Source organism: Homo sapiens, chromosome 15, assembly GCF_000001405.40.
Source record: "Homo sapiens chromosome 15, GRCh38.p14 Primary Assembly".
Classification (NCBI taxonomy): Eukaryota; Metazoa; Chordata; class Mammalia; order Primates; family Hominidae; genus Homo; species Homo sapiens.
This window is the reverse complement of record NC_000015.10, coordinates 79,389,825-79,410,658: the sequence shown is the minus strand read 5'-3', so window position 1 is coordinate 79,410,658 and position 20,834 is coordinate 79,389,825. Positions and strand designations below refer to the sequence as shown.

Genomic DNA, 20,834 nt, shown 5'->3' with positions numbered 1-20,834 from the left:
TATTTTTTTCCACAATTTAAAGCTTAAACACCTATGGGAAATCTTCAAGGAATATTTTGTAGGTCCCCAATAGCAGTCATTTCCTGTTAAATTAAGCTGGTGATGGAATTTACTGTATTACCTAAACCAATTTTCATCCAGTTGCAGTGAACATCCTGTCTGGCATGCTGGCTGCCTTTGTGATAGTTGTGCTCTTTTGCTGGCCACATCACAGCTGCCCCTCCAAGTGCTCTCCCCAATTAGGAAGATGCAATTAGATGACAGCGTCACCCTCTCCTATACTGTCAGTAATAAGGAACAGATGCTTCATTCCGATGGGAAAAATTGGGTCTTTTCACAATTATTAATATCCTGAATTAGAATGGGTTGCTTTGTCATTTTACCTAGTTTTCTATGAATCTATAATATTTAATGTCTTGTTTATTTAACCATGAGGCTGATAAAGAAAGGGAACACTATAAACCATTCTAAGCATATAGAATTATGGGCTATGTTTCTGGAAGGAAATATATAAACCTCCCAGGCCTATGAACTTATTTTTCATTTTAAACAATTATTTACTTAATGAATAGGTGGCATATGTGTGCGGCGTAAAATTCATCGGGTATGAAAGGAGCATAGGGTGTAGTGAAAAGTACCAATCCAATCTAGTATACCTCTTATCTAAACTCAGCACAAAATTTCCTAAAATGGATCTTCGGGTATTAGTTTACCCCTCTACAGGGGCAACTAAGGTTACCAATTTCTTCTGTATCCTCTAGCTTATTTTACAGTTCAGGAAAATTGGGCTCAGAACAGCAAAATGATTAATCTACAGTCACATGGCAAGTTGTTTGCTGCAGCCAAACTAGAACCTTGGCCTCTTCACTATTAACAAAATTTCACCCATAATACATAGCTGTCACTCGGCTCCAGGCAAACCAAAGGCATTCTTTTCTTACAATACGAACCAAAACTTTCTAATAAGAGCAGAAGGCTGAGGAAAACATTCAGACAAAGTGCTTTTATTTGGTTGAATGGTCAATAAAGAACACAGAATATTCTTTTTAAAAGAGATGTATAAGAAATCTATTCCAACGACCTTATTTTACACATGAAGAAATTAAGGCTCACACTGGGAAACAATTGTCCAGCAAATTAATGTTAGCGGGCCCATTTGCATGAACTCTGAGCAGTGTTTGTGACTTTGCAAATGGAATACGGGTCCTCCCTTGCCCCACCTCCAATCATTACCTCTTGGTTCCCCTGCCTATATCTGGGGCATTGTGGCTGTGTTATACTGGAAAATGCAGGAGCGCATTGATTTCCTATAATGGTTTTATCTATAGAAATTTGTGAGGACATCCTTTGGTTGGAAGATTGGCACTGAATATCTGAAAGTGCCAAATTGAACTGAGAAGGAGTGTTCCAAAGTAGTGCCTCAAATGAACCTTTGCTCATCAAGAAAAGTCTCTCTCTGCACTTGCAGACTGTAACTCCTCGACCTGTCCTTATAGGATGCATCCTGCAGTTGGAAATGTGTTGCCAGGCATTAAAGACTTCTTGTTGCCCTCTTAGTAATGCAGGTTATAGGCTTCAGGAATATAAGCTTCAGGTTTTAGGCTTCAGAAAAGCAATCATGGAATCAAGCTTTTGAGAGAAGCTCTGTACTTAAATTAACAAAGAAATCTATATTGAGTCAAGTTTTCTTGTATCTTTCTAATTTAAGTTGTATTAGGACAATGTAATTACAGAGACCAAAAGAGAGATTCACAGTGAGATAAAAATGTGAATACAGAGAAGCCGTGGGCCCTTCTTCTCTGCCCTGGGAAAGATGCTATACCTTTAAAATACTTCATGTGGTACTTCTATGCCCTTCCTCTTTTGAATCGCACAAGGCTGGGAGGCAGGAATTCTCACCACTTGCATTTTAAAGGTGAGAAAAATGAAACCCTAGAGAGGTCAAGTGATTTATGCAAAGCCACACAGCACAGAATTGACCATCCCAGATCTGGACCCTGGGTTTCTGGCTTCCAGGGGCCATTCTCTCTGAGTTCTCCCCACACCTCTCTTCCCACTCCTTCTCTGTCTCCGTGGCTCAATTCTTTCCTCCTCTCACTCACATTTAGGCATCCCTGAAGTTTCTCTCTGGGGCTGACTTCTCTTTTCTCCTTCAAATGATGTCATTAAAATACCTCTTACAGCTTTAAATATCACTTCCTTGCAGATGCCCTATGGCTCCGACCACCTCGGGAGTCAGTGTCTTAAGCTCAAAACTGCAACTCAGCACTCAGATCATAGATGCTATAGGTCTCTGAAAAGCCTATGGGTGACTCATACGTCCGATGGGAGGAACTGCGACTGGCAGAAGCAGAAGGTGCAACCTAGCCTGGCAAAGGGAACTGGGTGTTCCAGCCCTCTAAGCAGGGCCTGCAAACCAAACCTGCATAAGGAAGATCTCTGTAGAGTGATGTGAGCAGAGAGGGATTTCACACACAAACATTCTTACATTCTTACAGATGAAGAATGTTTTCCTTGCTGTGGGTTGGAAGGTCAGGATATTGAGGACTGAACAATTATACCTCCCATTTTTATAGCACATTACAGTTTGCCAGGTGGTTTTATGTCCATTGTCTTATTTGATCTTTCCAACGACTTTGTAAAGCAGGAAGGGTAGGAACTAGTACTCTGAATGACTTGCGCAAAATCTCACAGTTAGTAAATGGCTGCGCTGCAAGGCTGAACAAAAACCAATCTGGTTCTCTACCAGAGCATGCCCCACTTCCTTGCCCACCGAATTCCTCTCTTCTTTGTAAGTTTTCTTAGACAGATAGCATAAATCCTCAATGGACCACTACCCATTGGCTCTCGGGCAAAGCAGGCGTGAGCAAACGTTTCCTGTCAGGGGTCAGGTAAAAAATGTTTTAGACTTTGCAGACCATACAGCCCCTATCACAACTTGTCAGCTTTGTTGTTTTAGTCTGAAAGCAGCTCTAGGCAATACATAAACAAATGAGCATGGAAGTGTTCCAATAAAACTTTATTTAGAAAAACAGGTGGTGGGCCAGATTTGGTCCTTGGGCTGTATAGTTGGCCAACCCTTGACACAAAACTTTGCAGGATGATTCTTGTCCTCTCCAAGATCTGCCCCCGTCTTCCCTCATTGCCTCCAGATCAACAACCAGGGTCTGGCTTCAGTTTGAACAGAACAGGGATATAGAGTCCTTACTTTGGGAAGAAATAGTCCACATAACTCAAAGAATTTCAAGAACAGGCTAATATGTACCTATAGAAACTAGGGAGCAAATGCCCCAGTATCTCAAAGGTTTGGGGCAGGGAAAGGTGACAAGGAGAATATAAAGCTGTGTTGGGAGAGTTTAATTGATGTAGAGGCACTCTCCCCTGACTCGGGGTTTAATATCCTGCTAAACTCAGGTAGAGCCAGTTGTACTTACTGCTGGAATGGCTCCTCCAAGCTTTCACTCAACGATAGCCTTCAGCAAATGAAGTTGAGACACTGGGTCTGCCTTGGCAGCATATAGAGGAAGAGTCAGGAGAGCCAGGAAGGTGGAAATGTAAGAAGGACTCACTGAGACCAGAGAGCCCACCACGTGTGTGACAGCATCCCTGGAAACACGTGAAAGAGGCTTCTTTACTAAGGCAATAAAAATCCACTGATGACAGAGGCATTAGCACTTTTAAGAAGCTCAGTGGCCACTGTCTTCCATTGGCCTGGACTGACACTAGAAAATGCTGCATAGAACTAGGCTCTCTAGTAAATTGATGTGACAGGATTCCCACAAAGCAAGAATCCCTTTGGTCAGAGACGAGAAAGATGTGTTAACATAACAGGCACACATGGCTTCAGAGATTGACGGTAATGCCCATTAGGCCATAGTATTCCTGCGGGGGGTAAGATAAATGGGTAGCTGGCTAGGGTGTAATCTGACTTCAAAACAGAAAAAGTGGAGTTCTGATGAGCAAAGGTCAATGTTAACTGCTGCAACAGAAAATCACTGTTCCTCCTACAGTTTCCAGAGTTAAGTCAGTTCACAGACCCAGGACCTATTGCTTCCTTGAGAGAAATCAATATTCTTCCAGTCCTTTCCCAAAGGGATCTGTGGCTACTTCCCAGAATAATTGTATGTGTGCACTCTTAGATATGAGTTCTAGGCTAAAACTGATGATAAGGGACCCAGCATGCCACTGTGGCCCCCACCCTCCCAGTTAGAGTGGGGATGGGGAAGGTCATGTGATGCCCTGGCCCAAATTCTCTCACAGTGGGTCCATTGTATCCACAGACCTACCCTCTAGTTATTCTGTCAGTTGTCAAGTATATAATTATTTCTAGCAGCTGACAGGACGTCTCATTCATTTCCGGGTCTATGGAGAAAGGGCTATTAAAGCACAAAGGGTGAGTGGAAGTCCAAGAAACAGCCCCTCACCCCGGTGAAGACAGCAAATTAGAATCCATTCTGCCTCCTGGGTGAAATGGCAAATACTAGTGGCTTCCTCAAAGATGGAAAGAGTGCAAGTGTGATGGTCCTCATCACATCTCTGTATTCAATTCATCTACATGGCTTCCGCAAAAACGAAATAGATATAGTAGATGATGGTGAACTACCTTAAACTAAGCCAAATGATAGCCTCAGTTGCAACCGCTATGCCAGATATAGTATCTTTACTGAAAGAAATAAACACAGCCTCAGGCTCTAGGACTGTGGCTATTGAGCTGGCAAATAAGTTCTTTTCAAACCCCCATCAGTAAGGAGAATAAAAAGCAGCTCACCTTTCTGTGGGAAGGACAGGAGTACACATCGACTGCCTTGCTCTAGGGCAATGTTAATGCTTTTGCTCTCTGTCTTAGTAGAGTATGCAGGGATCTGATTGTCTTGACATTTACAAAGCATCATGATGGCCCACTATATGAATGACATCATGCTAACTGGATTGATGAGCCAGAAGCGGAAAGTATTTCAGATACCCAAGGAAAATACATACTGCCAGAATATTGGAGAAAAAAGCCATGAAAATTCAGGGGCTGGTCACATTGGTGATGCTTCCAGGCATTCAGTGGTCGGAGACTTGCCAGGTTATTCCCTGTAAGATTGGTTGCTGCACCCTGCAATCTCTACCACTAAGGTTTGGTAGGGTTCTTGGGATTTTGAAAGCAGCGTGTATAGTCCTTAGGAATATTACTCCAATTCATTTATCAGACATGCTGGAAGGCTTCCAGTTTTGAGCAGGACACGAGTGAGAGAGGATTCTCTAATAGGTCCAAGCTGGCATTCACACCAATTTATATTGAGCTCCCACCACTCAGGCCATGTGACTGGGAGATCTGATATAGCTAGAAGAATCTGAAGGGAGTGAGGATGCTCTGTGGATTCTCTGGCAATCACCACAGGGGAGTTTCAGCTCAGACCCCCAGAGTTCTAGATCAAAGCTATACCATCTGCAGCAGGGAATAGCTTGCCATTTGAGAGTATCTTCTGTCATGCTGCTGGGTGTGCCTGAGTTCCTGACCACAGAATCGCAAGTGACTATGAGATTGGAGCTGAGTATTATGAACTGATATTTTTCAGATGCACTAAGTCATGCTGAACATTGTATATTCAGAATTGGGTCCAAGAAGATTCAGAGGTGGCCTCCATGGGAAGCCCAAACCTGCAAGACTGCTACCTTTGACACACCAGTGCCACCTCCTCAACTTATACCCGTGGCCTATGGCAGAATACAGAGGGGTCCCTATGATTAACAGATAGAGGAGGAAAAACTGAGGCTTACTTCATAGATGGATGGGCTCACTTATGTTGATGCTAAACAAAGCAGGAATGCTGCTGCCCACATCCCCACTCAGGGGTGGTCATGAGGGACATGTGGGAAGGTAAATCCTCCCAGTGAGCAGAGCTCATCACCCTAAATGGTCAAGTTTGAGTGGAAGGAGAAGTGGGATGAAGTAAAACCACACATAAACTTCTGGGTAGCGGCAAATGTTTTGGCTGATTGGTAAAGAGGCCTAAAGGAGTAAGATTGGGAGATCAGAGGTCAGAAGGACAAAGGAAAGGCCTGAGGAAGGACTGATGGGAGGAGGAAAAAGTGTGCAGAACTTTGTATTTCACATGAATGCCCACAAAGAATATGCACGGCAAAGGAAGCATTCACCTGCCATGTTTTAGTTTGAGGCAGCCAGCTTCTCTCTAGATATTTCGGTGCTTGGGCAATGGACCCATGAATGGAGAGGCTACAGAAACAAGGGAGGATGCTACAAATGGGCCCCATGGCATGGGGTCCCTCTCATCAGTGTGAATCTGACTACTGATGCAGCTAAATGTTTGTCCTGTCACCAGCAGAGGCTGATGCTGAGTCTTTGATATGGTACCAGCCCTTAAGAAGACCAACCAGCCATGTGGTGGCAGGATGATTACAATAGGCCCCTCCACCTAACAGGGAATTGTCACCTAATTCATATAGGGGTTTGACTAACCTGCCCATTGTGCTTCCTCCAGCTCTCCATGCAAAGTCTTAAAGAATACCAGGTTTAATGGCATAGAATCTTGAACAATATTGATTCAGACCAAGGAATACATTTTATGACAAAGAAGGTGTGTGAATATGTAACTACCATATACCACATCACCTGGAAGATACCAACATACAGAACAATGAAATCATTTTTAAAGACTTAGAGTAAGTGCCAGATTGGGGACAACACCTGCAGAACTGGGGCTCTTTCCTCCAGAATGCAATATATACAATGAACCAAGGGTCATGCCGGGTATAGTGTCCCCAATATCTAGAATGTACATATTCAGGAACCAAGAGACAGAAGTAGCAGTGGTCTCGCTCACCATTATTCTCCATGACTTTCTCGCAAAATATGTGCTTCCTGCCTCCATTACTCTAAATTCCGTTGGATCATAGGTTGTGATTCCCAACAAGGGAGAGGTTCTAGCAAGATTACAGTAAGTTTCCACTGAACTGCAGCTATGACTACCACCTGGTCATTTTGAGTTTCTCATGCCAGCAGGACTAGTAGGCAAGGAAAAATGTAAACAGATTGGCAGACATAATTGTCCCTATCATAGAAACTGGGATTGCTGCTATATAATGAGGTCTGAAAGGAGTATATACAAAATGCAGGGGACACTCTGGGCGGCTCTTAGTGCTTTTTCACCAAGAGATAATGGTAAAAGGGAAAAAGTAGCAACTACCACCACACAATGGTAAGAAAAGTTAGAGTTCCTTAGGGAAGGAGGGGTCCCTAAGGTCTGGGTTACCCCACCAGCCAAGCAACCTAGACTAGATAAATCACTGGTAGGGAATTCTGGAAGGGGAGATAAAAGAGAACATCAATTTTTGCCTCAGGCCCAGTTATAGCAGCAAGGACTGTAGCTTGTTCTGCTGACCCTCCTGTATCAAATCAAGTCTTTTTTTTTTTTTTTTTTTTTTTTTTTTTGAGACAGAGTCCCGCTGTCACCCAGGCTGGAGCGCAGTGATGTGATCTCAGCTCACTGCAATCTCTGTTTCCTGGGCTCAAATGATTCTTGTGCCTCAGCCTTCCCAAGTAGCTGGGATTACAGGCATGCACCACCACACCTGGCTGACTTTTTTTTTCTTTTGAATAGAGACAGGGTTTCTCTGTGTTGGCCGCGCTGGTCTCCAACTCCTAGCCTCAAGTTATCCACACGCCTCAGCCTCCCAAAGTGCTAGGATTACAGGCATGAGCCACTGCACCTGGCCCTGTAACAAGTCTTGATGAGACTCCTTCACAAGGCTCTCTGGCCCAAGCAGTGTGAGGACTGGGCTCAGTCATCTGAGTGTCAGACATCTCTTATGCTTTACCTCCTATTCCTTGGCCCCCCTTTTTATTTTTTTATTTTTATTTTTATTTGAGACAGAGACTTGCCCTGTTGCCCAGGCTGGAGTGCAGTGGCACGATCTCGGCTCACTGCAACTTCCACCTCCTGGGTTCAAGCAATTCCCTGCCTCAGCCTCCCAAGTAGCTGGGATAACGGGCACCTGCCACCATGCCCAGCTAATTTTTTCTTTTTTTGTAGTTTTAGTAAAGACGGGGTTTCACCATCTTGGCCAGTTTGGTCTTGAACCCCTGACCTCGTGATCCACCCGCCTCAGCCTCCCAAAATGTTGGGGTTACAGGTGTGAGCCCCTGTGCCCATCCTCCTTGGCCCACCTTTTACCCTACCAAGTGCTAGGACAATCAGCTTTGTGCAGGTATAACTTGGCAGTGCCAAGCCTTGGCTCTATTATGAATCTCTCACTTTTTGCTTCTGGGCTTCTCTAAAGCCTCAGCATGAGCCACATGTGGGAACCCACCCAGCATTCACTCACACGTGTATAACCTGGGGACTGGACAAAGTTAATGACCATAAGATAACTGGACCCATGGGGCACAGGAGCCTGCAGATAAATGCTCCACTCTTTGGTATATGGGTGGACATCTATGGGGCACATTCTCTTCTGCTCCTGAGGTCTCATTAGAATTGAGCCTTAGCCATCCTCAGCAGCGACCACCTCCAGAATGTATTCTTGATCAGCTTTTCCTTCTTCACCCTGCACGCTCCCTTTCCCTTCCTCCTGATCCCTGAGGTCTCAAAATAAACCATCTTCCCAAAAGCCTTTGTCACAGGTTTTTCTTTCTGAGGGACTCAGGCCAAGACAATGACCTCCTTTCCCTGCCCTCGCCTCCATCACTGCTCCTTTGCCAACCAAGAGAGGCCACTGAGGATACTCTTCATGAAGAATGCCTCCTCCAAAGTGACTTTCTAACTGCCTAAAAACCTATTGATGGGATTTCAATCGCTAACCACATCTATTTGAAAATGGTATTAAACATCCCCACCCAACATACCCCATTGCAAAAGTGATTTGACAGGAAAATCTTCTTTTCTGATTCTTCCACCCTCGTTTCTCTTTTCCATTTGTCCTTTTTGCAGTTACTGGCACTCAGAGGCAGAAAGGTGAAGTAACTCTTTCGCACTACCCCATGTCACTGTTCTTCGTTTTTCCTCACCAGGTGAGGACAGGTTTTCTCAATCTTGGCACTATTGACATTTGGGAACAGATAATTCATAGTTGGGGGAGCTGTGCTGTTCATTGCAGGATGTTTAGCAACATCCCTGCCCTCTACCCACCAGATGCTAGTAGCAACTCCAATGTGGCAACCAAGAATGTCTCCAGACATTGCCAAATGTCCCCTGGGGGCAAAGCCACTCCTGGTTGAGAATCACTGGTCTAGGAAATCTTTCTCGTCCTCCTATGCACTCTCTGTCATCTATCTCACACTCCTGTAAAGAAAATACTTATCTTTCCTTCTTTTCTAAATAAGAATACAAATTATTAAATATTTGTCAAGCAGCTGCTACATGCCAGAGTACGTCCTGGGCATTATGCCATTAAGAAATGACACATTAATACTAGCACTTAAGTCTTTGATTTCATTCATTCAATCATACATGCAGTCCTTCAACTAGTATTTATTGAGTGCCTATTCTGTGTCAGGAAATATTCTAGGCACTGAAAATCTATTATTGAAGAAAGGAAATAAAAATCCTAAGGCGCATAGTAGTCACTCCCCATGGTATGGTAAAATATATGGGGTCTGGGAATAGTACAGACCTGAGTTTAAGTCCTATTTTTGTTATCTTCAGGATGTTTGGTCCTAGGATGGTACTTAGTTTCTCTGAGACCCAGTTCCTGGTCTAGAAAATAGGGTGCTGTAATGCCTACCTTAGCAGGCCAGCTTAAAGAGTGAAGGCAATGTATGCCGCATTCTCATGATAATAGCTGTCACCACAGGAGAATTATTATTCATTCTGACAGTTTGTTACGTTGTTGTGGAAGATCAGACGTGGAAAGGTCCCTTGACATTAAGTGATCCAACCCCCTCATTTTTCAGAAGAAAATACCAGTACTTACAATGATGACAAAGTTAGGAAAATAACATGGGTCTCTTGTTCATTTCTCATTAAATGAGATAATTGTTATATACACAAAATTGTACTAAAATGATGGCATTGTAATTATCACTTACTCTCCTACTTTCCTGTCTCTTAGGTAGGTGTAATAGTGAACATTCTAACAGTAATGATAACGAGAAGGCTCTAATCAACTCTAGACCCTAGGTATCATTTTCGCATTGTTCATTTAATCAGCAAATGTTTACCAAAATGTCTATTGTGTGCTAAGCCGTCAATGTTCGAGGCATTGGGGAAGTGAAGGTGAACAAGACAGCTGATATCCCTGCCTCTATGGTGCCTATATTTTAGTAAGGGAGATGGACAAGAGATAATTAAATACATTAGTAGATTAAGTGATTACAGATCACCGAAGAAGCCAGGAAGAAAATAAACAGGTGCTATGACAAAGAATAACAGAAGTGACTGATTTGGATAAGGGATAAGGGAGGGCTTGTTTGTGGAAGTGACATTGAAGCTGAGAACTAAAACATTAGGAGGGACCAGTGCTGTGAGGAGTGACAGCAGAATGGTGCAGGCAAAGGAAAGAGCAGATGCAAAGGCCCTGAGGTTGGGAGGAGCATGACAAGTTCGACGGGTCTTTTAGCTAGACCTCAGTGAGAAAGGCTGGAGAGAAAGGCAGAAGCTATGCAGTGTTTAGACTTTATCCCCGGTACAATAGAAAGCCATTGATGTTGAGGACAGGGGTTGTGGACAGCAATTTCCTGACCTGGGATACCTTGTAAATTACCCTACTTGCAAAGTAGAGAGGGTCATTGGCTGTCAGTGGACCTCACGGAGAGGAAGAGGCCCTGCCTCCGTGGAGACTGAAGCATGTACCAGTCTAGCTGGCTTAGATCCACGCCCCCTGATTTCAGCTGTCACTGCAGATAAGAGCAGGATTACACTTGACAATTCTCACAGATGCAATTTTTATTTAGCCTTTCCAGAGCCCATTTAGGTTGGCATTTGAGTAATGAATCAGAGGAATGTTCTGCCCAGTATGGGAAGGCAGGTCAGAAACCTTTCTAAAATGCAAATCTGATTGTGTCTCTCCCTTGCTTAAAACCTTTCATTACAGGCCGGATAAAGGACACATTTCCTGGCATGGAATTCAAGTTGCTTCCACACATGGCTCCTGACCACCATTCTAGCTCACATCTGTTGCTACACACCATCCTACTTCTCCAGACCCAAAACTCCCAATTCTCCTGGACACATTATGTGTCTCCATGCCTCAGTTTCTCCTTTCTTTCCTCTTTTTTGCGTTTTTGGACTCACACAAACAATGATCAACTCGTCCCAGGATGTCCCCAGCTTTAGCACTAGAAGTTGCAGTTTGGGAAACCCTTCAGTCCTGGGCACACCAAGACAGTTGAGGTGATGGTTAATTATACATGTCCACTTGAGTGGGCCTTGGGGAGCTCAGATATTTGGTCAAACGTTATTTTGGGCGTTTCTGTGAGGCTGCTTTTGAATGAGATTAAGATTTTGCTGGGTGTGGTGGCTCATGCCTGTAATTCCAGCACTTTGGGAGGCCGAGGCAGGTGGATCAGTTGAGGCCAGGAGTTTGAGACCAGCCTGGCCAACATGGTGAAACCCCATCTCTACTAAAACTACAAAAATTAGTTGGGCGTGGTGGCATGCACCTGTAATTCCAGCTACTCGGGAGGCTGAGGCATGAGAATCGCTTGAACCCTGGAGGCGGAGGTTGCAGTGAGCTGAGATCATGCTACTGCACTCCGGCCTGGGCAACAGAGCAAGACTCTGTCTCAAAAAACAAACAAACAAACAAACAAAAAACATTTAAATTGGTAGACTGAGTAAAACAGATGGCCCTAGCCTTCCCTATTGTGGGTGGGCCTAATTCCATCAGCTTGTGATGGGTAATTTTATGTGGAAACTTGCCTGGGCCATGGGATGCTCAGACATCTGGATAAACACAATTTCTGGATGTGTCTGTGAGGGCATTTCTGGAAGAGACTGGCATTTGAATTGGTGGACTGAGTAAAGCAGATGGCCTTCCCCACTGTGGGTGGGCCTCATCCAATCCCTTGAGGTCCTGAACAGAAAAAAAGGGTGGAGTAAGGGGACTAACTCTGCATGACTGATCAAGCTGGGACATCGATCTTCTTCTATTCTCACAGCTTCCCGTTCTCAGGCCTTTAGCCTTGAATTGAAATCTACACCACGGTCTCTCTGGCTCTAAGGCCGTCAAACTACACCACTGGCTTTCCTGAGTCTCCAACTTGTAGGCAGCAGATTGTAGGACTTCTCCAAGGGAGGCTGGGGCAGGCAGATCACTTGAGTCCAGGAGTTCAAGGCTACAGTGAGCTATGATTATGCCACTGCCTGGGCAACAAAGCAAGATCCTGTCTCTAAAATAAATACAATAAAATAAATGACATGAAGGAATCTTGAATGCATATTACTAAGTGAAAAAGCCAAGCTGAAAAGGCTACGTACTGTGTAATTCCAACTACATGGCATTCTGGAAAAAGAAAGCAATGGAGACAGTAAAGAAATCAGTGGTTGCCAGGGGTTGGATGGAGGAGGAGGGATGAATAGGTAGAGCGCAGAGGTTTTTAGGGCAGTGAAACTACTCTGTATGATACTATAATGACGGATACATGTCATTATGCATTTGTCCAAAACCAAAGGATGTACAACACCAAGAGTGAACTCTAACGTAAACTATGGACTTTAGGTGATAATGATGTATTAATGTACATTCATCAGTTATAACAAATATACCACTCTGGTGCAGGATGATGATAGTCAGAGAGGTTGGGTATGGGGCTAGTGGGGAGGGAGCATATGGAAACTGTATTTTTCATTCAATTTTGCCATGAACCTAAAACTGCTCTAAAAAATTGGCTCTATTAAAAACTATACCCTGAATTCTGGTACAAAATGTCATCTGGATAGAACTCTTAATGCTGCCTCTCCTGACGTCTTATTCAAATACAGGCAAATGCAAAAATGCATATGTATATTGACTGTAGTAATGTAATAATCTGATGCAAGAGTCTGGGAGAAGAGAAGCTGAAGCAAATTGCAAAGCAGATTAACTAAATAGGGAAAAATGTATCCAGAGTCAACTCCTGGTGTACCTTGTTTACCTACCCTTCATGAAACAGACAACAATCATCAAAGATTGGCTTGCACTTTGAATCTGTCTGTTTTCATCTGTTCCAGCCTTGAGTCCTAGGGCTGACCAGAAAATGGTAGCCAGTTCTTTATTCTGTGCTGCTGCTCCATGAGGAGGGAAAGAGGCTCTTCAGATCTGTTTGTCGTCTTTCCATGTCCAGGCAGAGAGCGCAAAACTCAAAACAACTAAGCAGATGAAAGAAAGGTGAGCAGACTGCTATGTACACAATACTTTCTGAAAGGCATGGTTCTCAGAAGAAAACTCTTTCTTCCTTCTCAAAAAATTACTGAAGAGATAGCCTCTGTGAACCAGGAACGAAGTTCTAGGGAGAGAGCAGATTTAGATGAAAAGATAAAAGGATGAAGCAAACAGACAAGAAAAGGAAATAGGAAGATGAATGTAAAAAAGAAATGAGTGAGTTGAGAGGTGCTAAGCAGCAAATGAGAAACAGTGTCATGGTTTTAAAACCTGACCACAAATTCTTTGACACTCCTGCTTTCAAGAAGTGCAGTCTGCATTCCCGCCTCTTACATCTGAACGGGTGCTTTGGCCGGCACTGTCCAACACAAACATAATGCAAGCCACGTGTGTCATTTTAAATTTTCTAGTGGCTGCATAGAAAGAGTAAAAAGAAACAGGTGAAATTAATGTTAATATATTTTATTTAACCGAACATATCCAAAATATTATTTCAACATGTAATAAATTTAAAAGTTAAGAATAAAATATTTTACATTCTTTCTTGAATATTAAGTCCTTGAAACTCAGAATGTGTCTTGCATTTACTTCAGTTGCCTGAAGTCTCACTTCAGGCTAACTACATTTCCAGTGACCACAGCCACATGTGACCAGTGCCAATCATTCTGTGCAGTGCACGTTTTGACCAACAGAGTATGATGGAAGAGGTGCTATGTGACTTCCAAAGCTAGATCATAAATCGCCGTGCAGCGTCCACCTTGCATTAGGAACACTTACACTGGAGCCCAGAGGGAAGATGGAAAAAGTCCAACTACCCTGAGATTACCATGCGTTGAGGAAACTCAAGCCACATGGACAGGCTACAAACAGGTGTTCTGATTGATGTTTCTACTTAGGATGGCCACTGAGCCATCCTTGCCAGGTACTGGACAGGTGAATGAAGATTCTAGCCCCCAGCCATTTAAACCAGGCTTAGCCATTCAAGATGAGGCCCCAGACATAGTGGAGTCATGACAAGTTACTCTCCGTGTGCCCTTTATAAATTCCTGACTCACAGAATCTGCAAGCATAATTAAATGGTCATTGCTTTATACCACCAAATGTTGGCACGATTTGTTAGACAGTTATAACATAAAAATAAAAGTTACCACCTCACTAGAAGGAGTTAAAGAGTAGAACTGATGGAACCAGAAAGAAGATAATTGTTACGGAGGGCAAACTTTAGCATTTGTTCTGGAATTCAGAGGCAAAGAAAAATGAGATGAAGCAATAAAAAAGATGTTAAACATGGAAGTCAGAAGATGGAGAGACAATTTACTTTTGTCTCCTTCAGGAGTTGCCTGAATTGAAGCATTATCAAAGGAACACTAGAAAAAATATTTCCCAGATTGTCATTTAGACTGACCATGACTTATCAGCAACAACTGATCCAAATGAAAACTGAGTGATATAGTCAAAGTATCCATCCAAAATGTTATTATTTGCCATAGTATCAATTAGGAGAAAGAACAAAATAAGAACGTTTAAAATGTTCAAACCCTGAGTCTATTACACACAGACTTTCATTAAAAGGCCTATAAAAGGGTGTATTTAAACATAAGTGTGAGATATGAAATAGACGAAACAATAATGAAACACACAGGAATTCATAAAATATGTTGGTAAATTTAATTAAACATCTCCCTTTAAAATCTGATATTTTCGTGTTAAAGGGCAAACTAAAATTCTAAATAATAATAACAAAAAATAGCATAAGTATCTCAATGCCTAAAGTCCTTATCCATGGTTGGGGGAAGAAGAAAAATGTCTTTTTTTTTAAAGTGTAGTTAAATATTTTTAAATTAAGTATGGCCACTTAAAAACCAGAAACATTGGCCAGGCGCGGTGGCTCAAGCGTGTAATCCCAACACTTTGGGAGGCCCATGCGGGTGGATCACCTGAGGTCAGGAGTTTGAGACCAGCCTGGCCAATATGATGAAACCCTGTCTCTACTAAAAATACAAAAAATTAGCCAGGCGTGGTGGTGAGCACCTGTAATCCCAGCTACTCGGGAGGCTGAGGCACTAGAATTGCTTGAATCCAGGAGGCGGAGGTTTCAGTGGGCCGAGATCGTGCCACTGCACTCCAGCCTGGGCAACAAGAGTGGAACTCCATCTCAAACAAACAAACAAAACAAAAAAACCAGGGACATCATCTACAGTTTCCAAATCAGGAGAGTTGAGTAAAAAAACGAAAACAGGAAATATTATCAGGCCAACAGAAGGCAGAGAAGAAGAAAAGAGAGTAGAAAAGAATGAAAAGATAGAGAGAAATAAGTCCAACTATATCAGTAACATTTTTCCACTTACATAGCTTGATAGCCTATAACACAGTGCTTTATAATATTTATGGATACATAAATAACATGTATCAAAAGTATAAAACAACATGCATGGAAATGATGCTCTAATTCATGACAGTACTTACCTTTGGGGAAGAAGAGAGGGTACTAGTGTTAGGTACTATTACACAGGGGGTCTCAATTTCTCTGGAATATTTAATTTCTTTAAACAAAGTTCAATAAAATAGGATACTGTGTTAAAACTGGATAAAACTGGAGTAGTCAGAACATAGGTATGATATTATTCTCTATTCTTAGTTGTGTGTTTGAAATAGTCTCTCAAAAATAAACGTAGCAGGAGAAAGAATGCAAGAACCTCTTCTCCATTTGTAGCTGCTTCTTTGAGCCCAGAGAAGGCTGAATCTATGGGACCTATAAATAGTGGGGAAAACCCATTTCATGGGCATTTCACAGCAAGAATGAAAACTCAGACTGGAATGCCAGCCTATGGATCTAAGAACTGCTGCTCCAGTAACAATTAGACTTCAAAATGCAAAATCTGTTTGCAAACTTCCCTCCCCATGTGTATTTTTTAGGAAACCTTGGGTTGCCAACAGAAGGATGAGTCAGTCTCTCAGCCTTCCTAGCCAGAGACACAACCAGAGCCAAAAGAAACTTGTCGCAGTAAACACATGGGAATGGTGGGCGTTCTGCAAAGTTAACATTCTATAAAGATCGGCAAGGCTGATTTTCTGACAGTCTATGGGGAAAATAAACCCTTTTAAAGTATGCCTTTTCGAATGAGCTTTTTAGAGACTTGGGACACCTTCATTAATTTATTATGTAAACGCCATTTGGTCCTAAATGTGCACTAGTCCACCCACCCCCCTACTCCCCAACTATGCAGACCCTCTTCAGCTCTCAGCATTTTAACAGCACAGTCATATACATTTTGGTGTGAATTCTCCCTCAGAATGAGGCCTACATCCATGACTTAAAAATTAGAGGTAGAAAGGAGAATATGAAATGTCTAAATGGGCCGGGCACTGTGTCTCATGCATGTAATCCCAACATTTGGGGAGGTAGAGATGGGAGGATCGCTTGAGCTCAGGAGTTTGAGACCATCCTGGGCAACATGGTGAAACCCTGTCTCTACAAAAAATTTAAAAAATTAGTTGGGCAAGGTGGCATGCACCTGCGGTCCCAGATACTCAGGAGGCTGAGGTGGGAGTATGGCTTGAGCCCGGGAGGCAGAGGTTGCAGTGAGCTGAGATCACACCACTGCACTCCAGCCTGGGCAACATAGTAAGACCCTGTCATAAAAAACAAAATTTTAAAAATGCTTAGATGAACCAAATGGGACTCCTCTGTATTTCTTCTAGGCATTTATCATTTGCTGACTATTGCCTTTTCTGTTTCTCCAATCTATAATATACCTATCATAACTACCCTTCAAAAATCTGGTTTAAAGAACACTTCCACTTGAAGTTTTCCCAAGTGTCACCAGGCAGAAGTGAGCTTCCACAGAACTCTGTTCACATATATCTTTTATAACATCTTGCTTTTATAGGCAGCATAGTGCTCATGTGTCTACAATGTCTTTCAAACCAAGTCCCGAGTGCCTTGAGGAGAGGTACTCTGGTTGATTCATTTCTGTATCCTCTCCTGGCATTTAGCAGAGGTACTTACAGATAGTAGCTACTCAGTTTTTATTGTCTTATTAACAAAACTCGGCTCTAGTTCCTGCAAGCCTATCACCAGTTATGCTGTTTTATTTCCTGGAATCTAGGCCTAGAAATACTAATAGCTTCCAGTTCCAATAATTGCAGACTAGATGTTTTTGACCTTACCCTCCAAAAATTTTGGATAAAACTTCCCAAAAAGTTGTTCAAAATCCAAATAGCTTCTCTTTAAAGGATCAAAGAATAAAGAAGAAATGGAAAATAACTGAACTAAAACCTTGGGTGAAAATGAAAAGCCAGAGAGCTAAGTCTAGCTCTTTTGCTAGTGATAAGAGAGAAGGGAGAAAATTGCTTCAAAACTGAGTTTCACTTCTGGGGATCCCTGAAGCCAGAAGGATAAAGATTCCAATTTAAGTTGGGATGCCAAAGGTCTGCAACCTCAGAGAAGGATGAATCAGAAGTGAACCAACTCTTGTACAGCCTTTAGCTTTGTGTCACTGGAAGGCTCAAGCTTTGCAGCCAGATAAGGGTGGTACTGAATGTGTAGTGTCATGTACCTTTTAGAAGAAAAGAAAATGTTACCTGAAGGCCTCAAATTACTTCTCCAAATAATTTTTCAAATATGAAGTCCAGAACAAAAATTAACTAAGCACATTATCAGACAAGACCACACGAACAAAAAATCAGCTAAAATAATAAACAGTAGAAAGAGTTGCACAATTATTTGAAATTTTGGAATTAACACTAGCCTACTGTATTCAAAAAGTAGAAGCCTGGGCACATCGTCATCAGGTTATCTAAAATTAAGATGAAGGAAAGGATCTTAAGAGCTGTGAGACAAAAGCACCAGGTAACCTACAAGGGAAAACCTATAACAGCAGATTTCTCAGCAGAAACCCTACAAGCTAGAAGGATTTGGGGCCCTATCCTCAGCCTCTTGAAACAAAAAAATTATCTGCCAAGAATTTTGTATCCAACAAAACTAAGCATCATATATGAAGGAAAGATACAGTCTTTTTCAGATGAACAAATGCTGAGAGAATTCGCCACTCCCAGGCTACCACTACAAGAACTGCCAAAAGGAGCTCTAGGTCTTGAAACAAATCCTGGAAACACATCAAAACAGAACCTCTTTAAAGCATAAATCTCACAGGACCTATAAAACAAAAATACAATTTAAAAAGCAAAAACAAAACAAAAAAAACAAGGTACACAGGGAACAAATAGCATGATGAGTGGAATGGTACCTCACATCTCAATACTAACATTGCATGTAAATTGCCTAAATGCTCCACTTAAAATATACAGAACTGCGGAATGGATAAGAACTCACCAACAAACTATCTTCTGCCTTCAAGAGACACACCTAACACATAAGGACAAACATAAACTTAAACTGAAAGGGTGGAAAAAGGCATTTCATGCAAATGGACACCAAAAGTAAGCAGGGGTAGCAATTCTTACAACAGACAAAACAAACCTTAAAGCAACAGCAGTTAAAAAGGACAACAAGGGACATTATATAATGGTAAAAAGCCTTGTCCAACAGGAAAATATCACAATTCTAAACATATATGCACCAAACACTGGCGCTCCGAAATTTATAAAACAATTACTAATAGACCTAAGAAATGAGATAGGCAGCAACACAATAATAGTGGGGGCTTCAATACTCCACTGACAGCACTAGATGTCATCAAGACAGGTCATCGAGACAGAAAGTCAACAAAGAAACAATGGATTTAAATTATACCCTTGAACAAATGGGCTTGACAAATATATGCAGAACATTTCATCCAACAATCACAGAATACACATTCTATTCAATAGCGCATGGAACTTTCTCCAAGATAGACCATATGATAGGCCACAAAACGAGCCTCAATAAATTTAAGAAAATTGAAATTATATCAAGCATGCTCTCAGACCACAGTGGAATAAAACTGGAAATCAACTCCAAAAGGAACCTTCAAAATTATGAAAATACACATAAATCAGATAACCTGCTCCTGAGTGATCACTGGGTCAAAAACAAAATCAAGATGGAAATTGAAAAATTCTTCAAACTGAACAACAATAATGACAAAACCTATCAAAGGTGTGGCTAAGAAGAAAGTCTGTGGCCCTAAACACCTACATCAAAAAGACTGAAAGAGCACAAACTGACATTCTAACTGACATCCACACCTGAAGAAACTAGAGAAACAAGAACAAACCAAACTCAAACCCAGCAGAAGAAAGGAAATAACCAGGATCAGAGCAGAACTAAATGAAATTGAAATGAAAAAAAAAATACAAAAGATAAATGAAACAAAAAGCTGGTTCTTTGAAAAGATGAATAGAATTGATAGACCATTAGCAAGATTAACCAAGAAAAGAGGAGAGAAAATCCAAATAACCTCAATAATAAATGAAATGGGAGACATTAGAACTGACACCACAGAAATATAAAAGATGGTTCAAGGCTACTATGAACACCTTTATGTACATAAACTAGAAAACCTAGAAGAGATGGATAAATTCCTGGAAAAATACAACCCTCCTAATTTAAATTAGGAAGAAATAGATACCCTGAACAGACCAATAACAAGCAGTGAGATTGAAATGGTAACTTAAAAATTAAAAAAAAAGTCCAAAACCACATGGATTCACCGCAGAATTCTACCAGACATTCAAAGAAGAATTGGTACCAATCCTTTTGACACTCTTCCACAACACAGAGAAACAGGGAACCCTCCCTAATTCATTCTATGGAGCCGTATCACCCTAATGCCAAACCAGGAAAGGACTTAACCAAAAAAGGTAGCTACAGACTGATATCCCTGATGAACATAGATGCTAAAATCCTTAACAAAATACTAGCTAACGAATCCAACAACATATCAAAAAGATAATCCACCATGATCAAGTGGGTTTCATACTGGGGATGCAGGGATGGTTTAACATACGCAAGTCAATAAATGTGATACGCCAGATAAACAGAATTAAAAACAAAAATCACATGATCATCTCAACAGATGGAGAAAAAAGCATTTGACAAAATCCATCATTGCTTCATGATTATAACTCTCAGCAAAATCAGCATACAAGTGACATAGCTCAATGTAATAAAAGCCGTCCATGACAAATCCACAGCCAACATAATACTGAATAGGGAAAAGTTGAAAGCATTCCCTCTGAGAACTGGAACAAGATAGGGAAGCCCACTCTCACCATTCTTCCCTAACGTAGTACTGGAAGTCCTAGCCAGAGCAATCAGACAAGAGAAAGAAATAAAGGGCACCCAAATCAGTAAAGAGGAAGTCAAACTGTCACTGTTTGCTGATTATATGATTGTTTACCTAGAAAACCCTAAAGACTCCTCCAGAAAGTTCCTAGAATGGATAAAGGAATTCAACAAAGGTTCTGGATACAAGATTAATGTACACAGATCAGTAGCTCTTCTATACACCAACAGCAACCAAGTGGAGAATCGAATCAAGAACTCAACCCCTTTTATGACAGTTGCAAAAACAAAACAAAACTTA

General features: G+C 41.8%; 1 protein-coding gene across 1 annotated transcript in view; it reads right to left on the bottom strand.

Annotated features, from left to right (window-relative positions):
- TMED3 (transmembrane p24 trafficking protein 3) overlaps positions 1 to 20,834 on the bottom strand; it is a 102,775-nt gene that overhangs the window by 3,228 nt on the left and 78,713 nt on the right. The gene's annotated exons all lie outside the window — the stretch shown is intronic.